Source organism: Homo sapiens, chromosome 6, assembly GCF_000001405.40.
Source record: "Homo sapiens chromosome 6, GRCh38.p14 Primary Assembly".
In the NCBI taxonomy this organism is placed as follows: Eukaryota; Metazoa; Chordata; class Mammalia; order Primates; family Hominidae; genus Homo; species Homo sapiens.
In genome coordinates this window covers 134,232,722-134,245,956 of record NC_000006.12, presented here as the reverse complement: position 1 = coordinate 134,245,956, position 13,235 = coordinate 134,232,722, and the positions used below count along the sequence as shown (strand labels likewise).

The 13,235-nt window shown below is 41.1% G+C and overlaps 1 protein-coding gene across 1 annotated transcript in view, besides 5 other annotated features; it reads left to right on the top strand.

Annotated features, from left to right (window-relative positions):
* SGK1 (serum/glucocorticoid regulated kinase 1) overlaps window positions 1-13,235 on the top strand; it is a 148,857-nt gene that overhangs the window by 72,156 nt on the left and 63,466 nt on the right. The gene's annotated exons all lie outside the window — the stretch shown is intronic.
* Window positions 4,956-5,005: an enhancer, noted in NCBI's record as "active region_25086". NCBI's record gives its function as "activates an Ori minimal core promoter by ATAC-STARR-seq in GM12878 lymphoblastoid cells {active_cell/tissue: GM12878}" and the evidence as "EXISTENCE:reporter gene assay evidence [ECO:0000049][PMID:35858748]".
* Window positions 5,046-5,105: an enhancer, noted in NCBI's record as "active region_25085". NCBI's record gives its function as "activates an Ori minimal core promoter by ATAC-STARR-seq in GM12878 lymphoblastoid cells {active_cell/tissue: GM12878}" and the evidence as "EXISTENCE:reporter gene assay evidence [ECO:0000049][PMID:35858748]".
* Window positions 9,477-9,526: an enhancer, noted in NCBI's record as "active region_25084". NCBI's record gives its function as "activates an Ori minimal core promoter by ATAC-STARR-seq in GM12878 lymphoblastoid cells {active_cell/tissue: GM12878}" and the evidence as "EXISTENCE:reporter gene assay evidence [ECO:0000049][PMID:35858748]".
* Window positions 9,667-9,956: an enhancer, noted in NCBI's record as "active region_25083". NCBI's record gives its function as "activates an Ori minimal core promoter by ATAC-STARR-seq in GM12878 lymphoblastoid cells {active_cell/tissue: GM12878}" and the evidence as "EXISTENCE:reporter gene assay evidence [ECO:0000049][PMID:35858748]".
* Window positions 9,997-10,156: an enhancer, noted in NCBI's record as "active region_25082". NCBI's record gives its function as "activates an Ori minimal core promoter by ATAC-STARR-seq in GM12878 lymphoblastoid cells {active_cell/tissue: GM12878}" and the evidence as "EXISTENCE:reporter gene assay evidence [ECO:0000049][PMID:35858748]".

Here is a 13,235-nt window from a genome sequence, read left to right as displayed (position 1 = left end):
AAAGCAACTACATCATTAGATGAGCTTGTGCCAGTGTAACTCTTATAGAACAAGTGAGAACAAGTCAAGGTACTTATTTCTTTGCTTAGTTGTTAAGACTTGTTTTTGTATTTCTTTTACCTTCTTTTGATACAGATGAGGTCTCACTATGTTGCCTGGGCTGGTCTGGAACTCCTGGGCTCAAGCTATCCACTTGCCTCAACCTCCCAAAGTTCTGGGATTATAGGCATGAGCCACTAGTCCTGGCCATTTTTAAATATTTTTTGTAGAGACAAGGTCTACGCTATGTTGCCCAGGCTGGTCCCAAAATCCTGGGCTCAATAATCCACCCACTTTGGCCTCCCAAAGCACTGGGATAACAGGCATTAGCCACCATGCCCAGCCCATTTTCATATTTCTTTAGCTAAACTAGCAGGAAAAGTGAAGTAAAAATCTTCAAGTTTGCCCTTCTCTAGGACAGAATTTTTAGATTTTTAGCCCTGATTCTGAAGGTTTTATTTCCCCTGAATATCTATTGTTGACAAAACCTTAAAGATGCTATTTGTCTAATCTAGACTGTAACCTGAAATATTCTCACAGAAAAATAATTCTGGCATTTTCTCCCATTGAACTGCAGCCCTCTCTAAGGCATCTCAAGCAACTGTCTTTATCTTTAATTCTAAGACATAGTCACTGCCTGGAAAGCTAAACTATTACAGCCTACAGTGTAAATAAACCACAGGGCTTGGCATGGTGCCTCACACCTTTAGTCCACGATATTCTGAGGCAAGAGGATCCCTTGAGTACAGGAGTTCCAGACCAGCATGGGCAACATAGCAAGACCTCATCTCTAAACAAAAAACAAACTACAGGTCCTAGAGGTTTTTAAAACTATTGTTTAAGGCAGGGCATGGTGGCTCACGCCTGTAATCCCAGCACTTTGGGAGGCCAAGGCGGGTGGATCACCTGAGGTCAGGAGTTCAAGACCAGCCTGGCCAACATGGCGAAACCCCGTCTCTACTAAAAATACAAAAATTAGCTGGGCATGGTGGTGGGTGCCTGTAATCCTAGCCACTCAGGGGGCTGAGGCAGGAGAATCACTTGAACCTGGGAGGCAGAGGTTGCAGTGAGCCAAGATTGCGCCATTGCACTCCAGCCTGGGCAACAAGAGTGAAACTCCATCTCAAAAAATAAATAAGATTCCCGGGCAAGATGGCCGAATAGGAACAGCTCTGGTCTGCAGCTCCCAGCAAGACCAATGCAGAAGGCGAGTGATTTCTGCATTTCCAACTGAGGTACCTGGTTCATCTCACTGGTACTGGTTAGACAGTGGATGCAGCCCATGGAGGGCGAGCAGAAGCAGGTGGGGGGCGTTGCCTTACCCGGGAAGTGCAAGGGGGTCGGGGAACTCTCTCCCGTAGCCAAGGGAAGCCATGAGGGACTATGCCGTGAGGGACGGTGCTATCCAGCCCAGATACTATGCTTTTCCCAATCCTTTATACCCAAAGGATTATAAATCATTCTACTATAAAGACACGTGCACACATAGGTTTATTGCAGCACTATTCACAATAGCAAAGACTTGGAACCAACCCAAATGCCCATCAATGTTAGACTGGATAAAGAAAATGTGGCACATATACATCATGGAATACTATGCAGCCATAAAAAAAGGAGTTCTTATCCTTTGCAGGGACATGGATGAAGCTAGAAATGATCATTCTCAGCAAACTAACACAGGAACAGAAAACCAAACACTGCATGTTCTCACTCATAAATGGTAGTTGAACAATGAGAACATATGGGTACAGGGAGAGGAACATCACACACCAGGGCCTGTCAGGGGGTGGGGTGGGAGGGATGGCATTAGGAGAAATACCTAATGTAGATGATGGGTTGATGGGTGCAGCAAATCACCATGGCATGTGTATGCCTGTGTAACAAACCTGCATGTTCTGCACATGTATCCCAGGACTTGAAGTATAATTTTAAAAATAAATAAAATAAATAAATGAATATTATTAAAATAAATAAATAAAACTATTGTTTAGAGTTTTCTGAACTTTGGTTTTATTATTTTTCAACTTTGTCACATCAAGACTTAATTCTCCATCTATATAGATAAAAATGCAATGGAGCTTAAAAACCACAAACAACAATTATCCATAGATTGATGAGCAACATCTAGAGCTTCCTGGGAATAAGTCAGGCAGTATAATTCATTAGTGCAGAGTTAATGAATCATGCAGGTTGGAAAATTGGTAACAATTTAATTTCATCAAGGATAATACTTTAAAACTGCACGTTATGGCCGGGCGCGGTGGCTCGTGCCTGTAATCCCAGCACTTTCGGAGGCCAAGGCAAGCAGATCACCTGAGGCCAGGAGTTCGAGACCAGCCTGACCAACATGGAGAAACCCCGTCTCTACTGAAAATACAAACTTAGCCGAGCATGTTGCCACATGCCTGTAATCCCAGCTACTTAGGAGGCTGAGGCAGGGGAATCGCTTGAACCCAGGAGGCGGAGGTTGCAGTGAACCGAGATCGTGCCATTGCACTCCAGCCTGGGCAACAAGAGGGAAACTCCATCTAAAACAAATAATAATAAATAAATAGATAAATAAATAAAAAATAAATACAACTGGAATTTACAATGAAAATGTTTCCAAAGGACATAATGAATTGTCCCCATTATACTTTCACCATTTATGTTTAATATACTTCCATCTCAGACAATTTAGAAATAAAACTGAACCATCAGTATATTAAAGATGGAATATATTTTTTATTTTCTTATTAATTCATTATCATTGATTCTATATTTTCTATAACCAAAGGCATAAGCTAAATAGGTAAAAGTATTGACAAAATTTTAAAGTATTTTTATTTGGAAGACATGAGAATCATTCTAAGATGTGTTTTGGGTGTTTTGTTTGTTTTTTAACCATTAGTTGAAATATCTATTTTTATTTTCTTATTAATTCATTATCATTGATTCTATATTTTCTATAACCAAAGGCATAAGCTAAATAGGTAAAAGTATTGACAACATTTTAAAGTATTTTTATTTGGAAGACATGAGAATCATTCTAAGATGTGTTTTGGGTGTTTTGTTTGTTTTTTAACCATTAGTTGAAATATCTATTCAGATTGTCAGTACAATCTAGTTCACACTCAAGGACAGATTACTGTTTTGAAAATTTAAAAAATTCTAGGATGGGCACAGTGGCTCACGCCTGTAATCCCAACACTTGGGGAAGCCAAGGAGGGAGGATTGTTTGAGGCCAGGAGTTCGAGACCAGCCTGGGCAACATAGCAAGACCCCATTTCTAAAAAAAAAAAAAATTAAATTTAAATTAAAAAAATTTAAAATTCTAAATGTCTGAAGGACTATAAAGCAACTGTGGGTAAATTTCCCATGTTCAAAACAGCTCTGCTACTGGCCCAAGTTGCCCATTTCCCTCACTCTTATTCCTAATTCTTTTTTTTTTTTGAGACGGAGTCTCACTCTGTTGCCCAAGCTGGAGTGCAATGGCGCGATCTCAGCTCGCTGCAACCTCCGCCTCCCAGGTTCAAGCGATTCTCCTTCCTGAACCTCCCGAGTAGCTGGGATTACAGGCACGTGCCACCACACTTGGCTAATTTTTTGTTTTTTAGTAGAGACAGGGTTTTGCCACGTTGGCCAGGCTGGTCTCGAACTCCTGACCTCAGGTGATCTGCCCACCTTGGCCTCCCAAAGTGCTGGGATTACAGGCGTGAGCCACCGCGCCCAGCCTTATTCCTAATTTCAAAATTCCTAGTTGCTCCCTTTCTTCCCTCTGCGGTTCATGAGCACCAGCACGTTGGTCATTGCTTCCACTTGCTCAATCCCTTCATGCAGTTTTAACCTCACTTGTCTCTGGCCTATCTTGTTTCTCACTTAGCCACATTAATCCCTTCTCTCCCTTTCCTCTGGGACTCCTGACAGTAAACACCATTCGGTCATTAAGCTTTCCTCAAAATCCTCCCTCTGCCCTCCCATCTTGTGACACAGGATTGTAACTTCATATAATAAAACAAGGCTGGGCACGGTGGCTCATGCCTGTAATCCCAGCACTTTGGGAGGCCGAGGTGGGCGGATCACGAGGTCAGGAGATCGAGACCATCCTGGCTAACGCGGTGAAACGCCGTCTCTACTAAAAATACAAAAAATTAGCCGGGTGTGGTGGCGGGCGCCTGTAGTCCCAGCTACTCGGGAGGCTGAGGCAGGAGAATGGCCTGAACCCGGGAGGCGGAGCTTGCAGCGAGCCGAGATTGTCCCACTGCACTCCAGCCTGGGTGACAGAGCGAGACTCCATCTCAAAAAATAAATAAATAAATAAACAAGTTTGTTGGCTACATGTGATTTCAATCTAGGAAGACAGACTTCGTAGAGCCTGCATTTGGGTGTGCACTCTTACAAATTCCGAGGAGGGAGAGGCTCAGCATTCCCCAGATAGATCAGACCAAAAGCATCTTTGGGCTGGGCAGGGTGGTTCACACCAGCATTTTGGGAGGCCGAGGTGGCAGGATCACCTGAGGCCTAGAGTTTGAGACCAGCCTGGAAAACAAAGCGAGACTCCATCTCTAAAAAGAAAAAAACATCTTCAGAGCCTGGGTCCATTGACCCACACCTGCAATCCCAGCACTTTGGGAGGCCAAGGCAGCAGATCACTTGAGCTCAGGAGTTCAAGAGAAGCCTGGGCAACATGGTGAAACCCTATCTCTACAGAAAATATAAAAAATAGCCGGATGTGGTAGTGGATGCCTGTAGTCCCAGCTACTCAGGAGGCTTAGGTGGTCGAATTGCTTGAGCCAGGGAGTCTGAGACTGCAGTGAGCCGAGATCATGCCACTGCACTCCAGTCTGAGTGACAGAACTGGACCCTGTCTCAAAAAAAAAAAAAAAAAAAGAAAAAAAGAAAAGAAACATCTTCAGGAAAGTGCTGCCTTAATTGAGATTTGATTTTCTACTAAAGATGAAACATTTTCTCTGATGCCCTCAAGCAGAAAGGGCTTCTTCTCCAGTCTTGTCTGGCTCAGAGCCAAGAGTTCGGCGGGCACTAACTTGACTTTCAAGAACTTCGCCAACTTTGCTCAACCACACCCACCCTTCCTCTGCCCTCACTGTCATCATCTACTAACCTCGAAGACACTTCCTTTAATCTTGGTGCCTGATGTAATCGTTTTTCTCTCTACTTGTTCACAAACAACCATTCTGGGGAATTTCAATATTTGTTCTCATTATTCAGCTAACAAGAATAACAGTACTAGGAATAATGACAACTAATATATCATTTTTGAATGTCTACTGTGCACCAATAAGTATCTTCAGCACTTGACATGCATTATCTCATTTAATTTCCACAACTACTGTATGTAAGAGATAGCATTATTTCCAATTTGCTGATGAGGAAAATACATTATTTAACAAGTCCAGGAATATACAGGATATTCAGCGGCAGAGCCAGGATTCCGAACAATATTTAACTGGCCAAAATGCCTTTCCCTACATTATATTTTTAGACTCTTTCACTATACATCTCTAGCTCCATTCCTCCATAAATCTACTGACATGGTTATTTATTGGATCTTACAATTATCCTAAATTCCTCCTCCTGTAGGTGTTTAAACTCTCCAGTTCCCTCTTTTTTTTTTTTTTTTTTTTTTGAGATGGAGTCTCACTCTGTCGCCCAGGCTGGAGTGCAGTGGCGTGATCTCAGCTCACTGCAATCTCTGCCTCCCAGGTTCAAGCGATTCTCCTGCCTCAGCCTCCCCAGTAGCTGGGACTATAGGCGTCGGTCACCATCCCTGTCTAATTTTGGTATTTTTGGTAAAGACAGGGTTTCACCATGTTGGCCAGGCTGGTCTTGAACTCCTGGCCTCAAGTGATCCGCACATCATGGCCCCCCAACGTGCTGGGATTACAGGCGTGAGCCACTGCGCCTGGCCTGCAGTTCCCTCCTGACTAGGGCTTTCTGTGCCCTGATGTCCTCGCTTCCCATCCCTGTCATGCTCTCCTCCCTCTCATGACCTTCAATCATTTCTCTTATCCACTGCCTCACCATCATGGTCTGCTGAAGCTGCATGTCTGCCTTCATCTACTTGAGAGTCCTGCAGTGTGTTTAATGTGGGGCAGACCCAACATGCTGTGCATAATTTGCAGATAGGTTAGAGCAAAGATAACACTGGCTTAATTTGCTTGCAAGATGATAAGACACATTTACAAATGAGAGGTCATCTTTGAGTGCAACCTTGTCCCCTCAATGATCCAATGCCATCAAGCAACATGCAGGGGCCACCTTCAAATGTCTGCTGTCATCCCTTGTTCTTTGGTCATCCATTCTTTTGGCGCTACAGTATTTTCTGTAAAATCACAAGCTGATGGGATGTTAGAACTAAAAAGGGCCGTAAAATGTGCGTAGCCCAATCTCTTAATTTTACAGATAAAGAATTGAGACCTAGAAGAGCCCATAGGCTGATACTATCTACATCAGTTGCTGAAAGGTTAGACAGAGGTAGCAGAATTTGCTGACGCCCTTTCAAAAAGGGATTTATTTCACAAATATATCTCTGACTGCGTCTTATCTGCCAGGTTGTCATGGTTTTAGATCCAGGTCAGCTAGTGAGCACTTTGTGCACATAATGGATTTCTCTTGATCACTCACCAGTTGAGAAGGTGGTGTATTATCAGAGGGAAGTGGGGCCAGCTGCTTTTCATAGCAGCACAATGAGGTTCTTTCTGTTGGGTGGGACACTTTGTCCAGACTTCCTTTGCACCAGATGGCTGTCCTTCAAATGCCCAAAAGCTCCTGGGATCATTAGGATTCCAGATGTGCTTGCTACTGTTGGTCTGAGGTAATGTGACAGCAGCTCTCTTCTTGCCAAGTATGCGTTCAGCTGTTAGACTGTTCTGAAATGCTGTTTAGCATGCTTCTAATATATTTGACCATTTTCATCTTCAATTCTGATTCACAAAATAGGCATTATGAAGTATTTTAGAATATTTACAGTTTAATAGTTAAACCCTACGATATGGATAGTGTGTTCTGAAAAATAGATTGGTGGCCGTCTGAGACGATCTAATTCTCAAGTCCCACAGTTCATGGCATCTCCTTTCTTAATACTTTGAACTTGTTCTGAATCCGATTATACTCTCCATTTTGCAGAGTAACTCATTTTCTGTTAGTCGGTAGAATGCACTTTGATATTAGGAAAAAATTGTTTTTACTTTAATGTGTTCCACATTGGAGACCCTTATTAAGGCTGGTATGCCTTATTTCCCAGTTGTACTAATTAAAAGCACTAATTATTTCCATGCTTGTATGTTGGAACCATCTTTTGATGCATGAAAGTTTCGAGAGAATTAAAAAAAAAAACACTGACTTTGGGAATCATGTGAGAGAATTAATATTCTTTAGTTCCAATTAAAAAAAGTTTTATGTCAGTTCATTAGACTTTAGCCCCTACTTCTTTGATTTCAAGTCTGTCCTGAATTTCTGCCATGTGGAGAGCAGTTGCCAGAATCCCCTTTCTTTATACAGCAGTTACTGTAATTAATGCTGAAAAGGGACTTACCTCATTCCTGATGCTAATAGGCCTCTTAAAAGCACTTTTTATATCTAATCCTTGTCATTTATGAGGGAGTTGAACTAGATTTCCAAGATCCTTCCTACATCTAAAGTCATTGATTCTCCACGACCTTATGGTCACTTTTCTAATGCATAAATCAACCCATTTCTTGCTCTCTTGAGAAATAATCCAGGTGTATTTAGTCAGGAAATCGGTTGTTTACTTTTCTGATGCAAAAGGTGGGAAAATGGAAGAAAAGATTATCTTTCCAGCTGGAAGTCAATCTTTTCCCAGAGATACAGATAATCTCTTTTAAAAATTTCTGAACTCTGGAACAATTATACTCTAAAAAAAGAATTATTAAGTCATACAAACTGAGGGAATCATAATATTGGGGAATAAGATGTTTTTTACACACTTTTTCTGGTATAAAATTTTGTGACTCATATGAATTATTTAGAGTATATTATTCTCAAGGACAAGTTTATTCTAATTTAAATCCTATGGGCTTGCAAATAAATAACTTACTTGTTCTCTTCAGTATACTATTGCTTGAGAGAAGAGAATATTTTGGTGGAAAGCTATTTCAGTGAAGCCAGACTATGCAATAGGACGGAAAAAACAAAGCTACAAAAGAAAAGCACTTTCCTAAAAAACTGTATGTAACTGAAATTGAGTTTATTTTATGAAAATATTATTTATTTATTAGTTTTTCAGACAGAGCCTCACTGTCACTCAGGCTGGAGTGCAGTGGCACGATCTTGGCTCACTGCAACCTCTGCCTTCCCGGGTTCAAGCGATTCTCCTCCCTCTGCCTCCTGAGTAGCTGGGATCACAGGCGCATGCCACCACGCCTGGCTAATTTTTTGTATTTTTCATAAAGATGGGGTTTCACCATGTTGGCCAGGCTGGTCTCAAACTCCTGACCTCAAGTGATCTGCCTGCCTTGGCCTCCCAAAGTGCTGGGATTACAGGCATGAGCCACTGTGTCCAGCGTTATTTTATGAAAATAAACCAGTGAAAATTAATTTCAGGCCAGGCACAGTGGCTCATGACTGTAATCTTAGCACGTTGGGAGGCCAGAGTGGGTAGATCACCTGGGCTCAGGAGTTTGAGACCAGCCTGGGCAACATGGTGAAATCCTGTCTCTACCAAAAATGCAAAAAAATTAGCCGGGCATGGTGGCATGTGCCAGCAGTCCTAGCTGTTTGGGAGGCTAAGGTAGGAGGATCGCTTGAGCCCCAGAGGCAGAGGTTGCAGTGAGCTGAGATCGCGCCACTGCATTCCAAACTGGGTGACGGAGTGAGACCCCATCTCAAAAAAAAAAAAAAGAAAAAGAAAAAGAAAATTAATTTCAAAAGTGGAATGTATTCACCCAACAATGTGTTCATTTATAAATAATACAGCAGCAACCTTGGGGATGATTGTTGTGGATGTTTTGATGTTTGGATATAATGTTAGTGGGAGACACAGGAAAATTTAAAATAGCAGTGATGGCTTCTATCTGAATCCCATTAACACTTGCGAGTTCATAGCCTCTTGATTTTTTGAGAAGGGGAGAATTGGAGCTCAACAGGTAGCAAACCATTTCATTCTGCAATTAGTCTGTCTAAAGAAAAAGGCTTTAACATTCAATGCTAGAATAAGGCTATTTTAGACATTTGAATTGCTGGCAAGACACCCCAAATTAGTCATCCCTTAATGGTTGTGTGTGGGTCTGTGTGTGTGTGTGTTTAAAATTCATTATTTACTTATTTATTTTTGAGATAGAGTCTCGGTCTGTCATCCAGGCTGGAGTGCAGTGGGGAGATTGTTGTTCTTTGCAGCCTCAACCTCAAAGACTCAGGTGATCCTCCCATCTCAGCCTCCCAAGTAGCTGGGGCTACAGGCACGTGTCACCATGCCCAGCTAATTTTTGTATTTTTTGTAGAGACGGAGTTTCGCCATCTTGCCCAGGCTGGTCTTGAACTCCTGGGCTCAAGCAATTCGCCCACCTCAGCTTCCCAAAAGTGCTTACAGGCGTGATCTACCAGCCTCCCTTAATGTTTTTTAAAACCACTTATTTAGGGCTATTGGTGAAAACAACAAATGAAGCATAGAGGCAATTACAGGAAGAGAAAGTACCCAATATTATGTAAAATGTGTTAGTACTGAGTCATATGTAAATTTGTGTTTAACTTCCTCACTCTTAAATTCTAGTTCCTGGAATCCCCCTCCTTCATAACTGACTCACAGTCTATTTTGGGACAAACCTGCCAATACTACAATCCCTTTACTGTACATTAAAATATATACAGAAAAGTCAAGAACTAATAGAATCATCAAACAATACCAACTAAGGGACCTCACCCACCTGTGAGGATGGAGCATGTGGCCTCAAAATCAGGGCTGACCTAAACTCTCCATGGTTGGAGTCACGTTTCCTAAGGCTGTGTTTGAAAAAAAAAATTAGTTAATTAGAAATACCTTGTTCACAGTTTAATGCTTGATCTTGTTCCTTATCTAAAATATCTATGGCCAGGTGCGGCGGCTCACACCTATAATCCCAGCACTTTGGGAGACCGAGGAGAGAGGATCACCTGAGGTCAGGAGTTTGAGACCAGCCTGGCCAAAATGGTGAAACCCCTTCTCTACCAAAAATACAAAAAAAATTAGCCAGGCATGGTGGTGCATGCCTGTAGTCCCAGCTACTCGAGAGGCTGAGGCAGGAGAATCACTTGAACCCTGGAGGTGGAGGTTGCAGTGAGCCGAGCTCGTGCCATTGCCCTGCAGCCTGGGCAACAGGAGGGAAACTGTCTCAAAAATAAATAAATAAATAAATAAATAAATAAATAAATAAATAAATAAAAATATCTATTTTTTCCACTTCCTCCTTGTCAAAACTTCTCTAAATTTTTAATAATAAATTTTATTATTTTAAAGTAATCTCATTATTTTTTTCTAAACAGGGTTTGAAGTTACATTTTCATCTTGATTCTAGTTGCTTCCTCCCCCCGCTTTCTTTACTATGTTCCAGTAATTTGATTTCAGAGTTGGCATTAACTCCCTGAATTCAGGAAGATATTCCCCAAGGACCTGAATCTTAGCCCTGGAAGCGATGTGAAAGCTTACATAGCACATCTCTCACCTTCAGTCAGAGCCATACAAAGAAGCTGCTATCTTATTATTCATGGCTTTAGAAAAGACTGCTCAACCTCCACCTGCATCTTATTTTGACATTTAGTTAGCTTTACTGTGTCGAACAAAGCCATTATGCTACACACCAAGCCTGTTTCCCTTGTTTTATACTCAGCGATGATAACCAACCCTGTCTGTATATAAAGCTCTCTATAAATTCATAGACTGTCTTCTTCAATTGTCATTTGGTCTTCTCTTCAAGAAAATTAATTATGTCTTGTTTGCCTCTCCTCATTGGTCTTTTTTTCCAATACTTGACTCATTTTGCCATCCTTGGAGCTGTCTTCTAAATAATTTCCAAGTTTTCCAATTAGTCTTATTTATTTATCTATTTATAAGATGGAGTTTCACTCTTGTTGCCCAGAATGGAGTGCAATGGCGCAATCTCAACTCACTGCAACCTCCACCTCCCAGGTTCAAGCCATTCTCCTGCCTCAGCCTCCTGAGTAGCTGGGATTACAGGCATGCATCACCACACCTGGCTAATTTTGTATTTTTAGTGGAGATGGGGTTTCACCATGTTGGCCAGACTGGTCTCAAACTCTTGACCTCAGGTGATCCACCCGCCCCGGCCTCCCAAATACTGGGATTACAGGCATGAGCCACCACACCCGGCCCTCCAATTAGTCTTTAAACGTGAATTCCAGAAGTTCACATTTCTGAGCACCATTAATTTGAGATCACTTAACAGCTCCTTCACATCATACTCTCATTACACTTACTATTTTTAAGTTGGTCTTTTTGTCTCTCCTTCTAGTTACAAGCTAGAAATGTATTGGTTTTTTATTTGTATTTTATTTTCTCTTTTTTGAAATAGAGCCTTGCTCTCTTGCCCAGGCTGGAGTGCAGTGGCACGATCTTGGCTCACTGCAGCCTCTGTCTCTGGGGTTCAAGCGATTCTCCTGCCTCAGCCTCCTGAGTAGTTGGGATTACAGGCACATGCCACCACACCAGGCTAATTTTTTGTATTTTTAGTAGAGATGGGGTTTCACCATGTTGGCCAGGCTAATCTTGAACTTCTGATCACTCAGGTGATCTGCCTGCCTCGGCCTCCTAGAGTGATGGAATCACAGGCGTGAGCCACCACTCTTGGCCAGAAATACATTGGTTTTTTAAAATGTTCTATTATTAAAACAATTTTTTCTTGCTTAAATTTGGACTTGTTTTGAATACAACTGCTTGGTTTCAGAAAAGGGTGTCTATAAAGAATAAAGGTTATTTTACTATGACACTGATGTATTTCTCTAAATTCAAAGATGAATTTCTAGAAATTTATAACTACAACTAAAATAGGTTTTTGTTCCTCTATTTAATATTTTTTTCTAATATTTTTCCTCTGTTTAATCTTGGATGGATTTTCCAGTTCTGTGTTTTTCCAGCAAATTTCTGGCCAAAAAAAAAAAGAATCAGAATCTAGTAGAATAACCATGCCAATTTAGTTTGGCATCAGTGTGATTAGGAATAAATTTAGAGTCTTTAGGAATGTTTTGGCCTATTTCTGCATGAATTATATTTAAATCCCATATTTATTGCTTTTTTCTTCTTTTTCTTTTTGGAAAGCAGGGTGAAAATGATTACAACATATGCAAGTATGCAATTTCGAGTTCGTTAATACCTCTATGAGGGTTCAGGCCTTCAAAATGGTAGCTGAAGATAACCGTGTCTGGCATATTCAGTATTGGTCTTTGACAAGTTCAACATAGTGCTGCCCTGGCATGTGGATTTTCATTTACTTTGGGAGAAAGTTATTGGGGAAACTAGTCAATAGAAATAATGATTGATGCTCATGGGACCTAAAGGAGAATCCTCAGAAGGGAACTTTGACACTACCTGTTCCTCTTTACCCAGTGACGCAACATGAACCATCTCTTGAACTAGTATGAGAGAGCTTTATTTTTGCAAAAGTCCAGAGAAACTCTACCAGAACACCAAATTAGAATTGAAGACTATAAGTGGGATACAAATGCATTCAAGTTCATCAATAGTTTTACACTGAAAGAAGTATGAGAAAGCGGGCTCAAATGCACATCTTTCTTTTTTAATAATAATACAACGTTTTGTAATCATGAAACTCATCTCTCTACTCCATTTCCTAAACTTTCACAAAGCTATTCTTTTTATACTAAAGTATAGAGATAGAGGGTTAAAAAATGAAAACATAAAGTATGTAGATAGATAAACTTAGAGATATAGATGCTAGATAAATTTTAAATTATGAATATAATATTAAAATATTATTAAAAATTGAAGAAATAGAAAACAAGAGCATCCGTACTCCCACTACATGAACACAATAAACATTGTTTCCTACATTGACTTATCTGTTCTATACACAGCTGAAATACATTTTTTTTTTTTTTTGAGGTGGAGTCTCACTCTGTCGCCCAGGCTGGAGTGCAGTGGTGCCATCTCGGCTCACTGCAACCTCTGCCTCCCGGGTTCAAGTAATTTTCCCTGCCTCATTCTCCCAGGTAGCTGGGATTACCGGCCC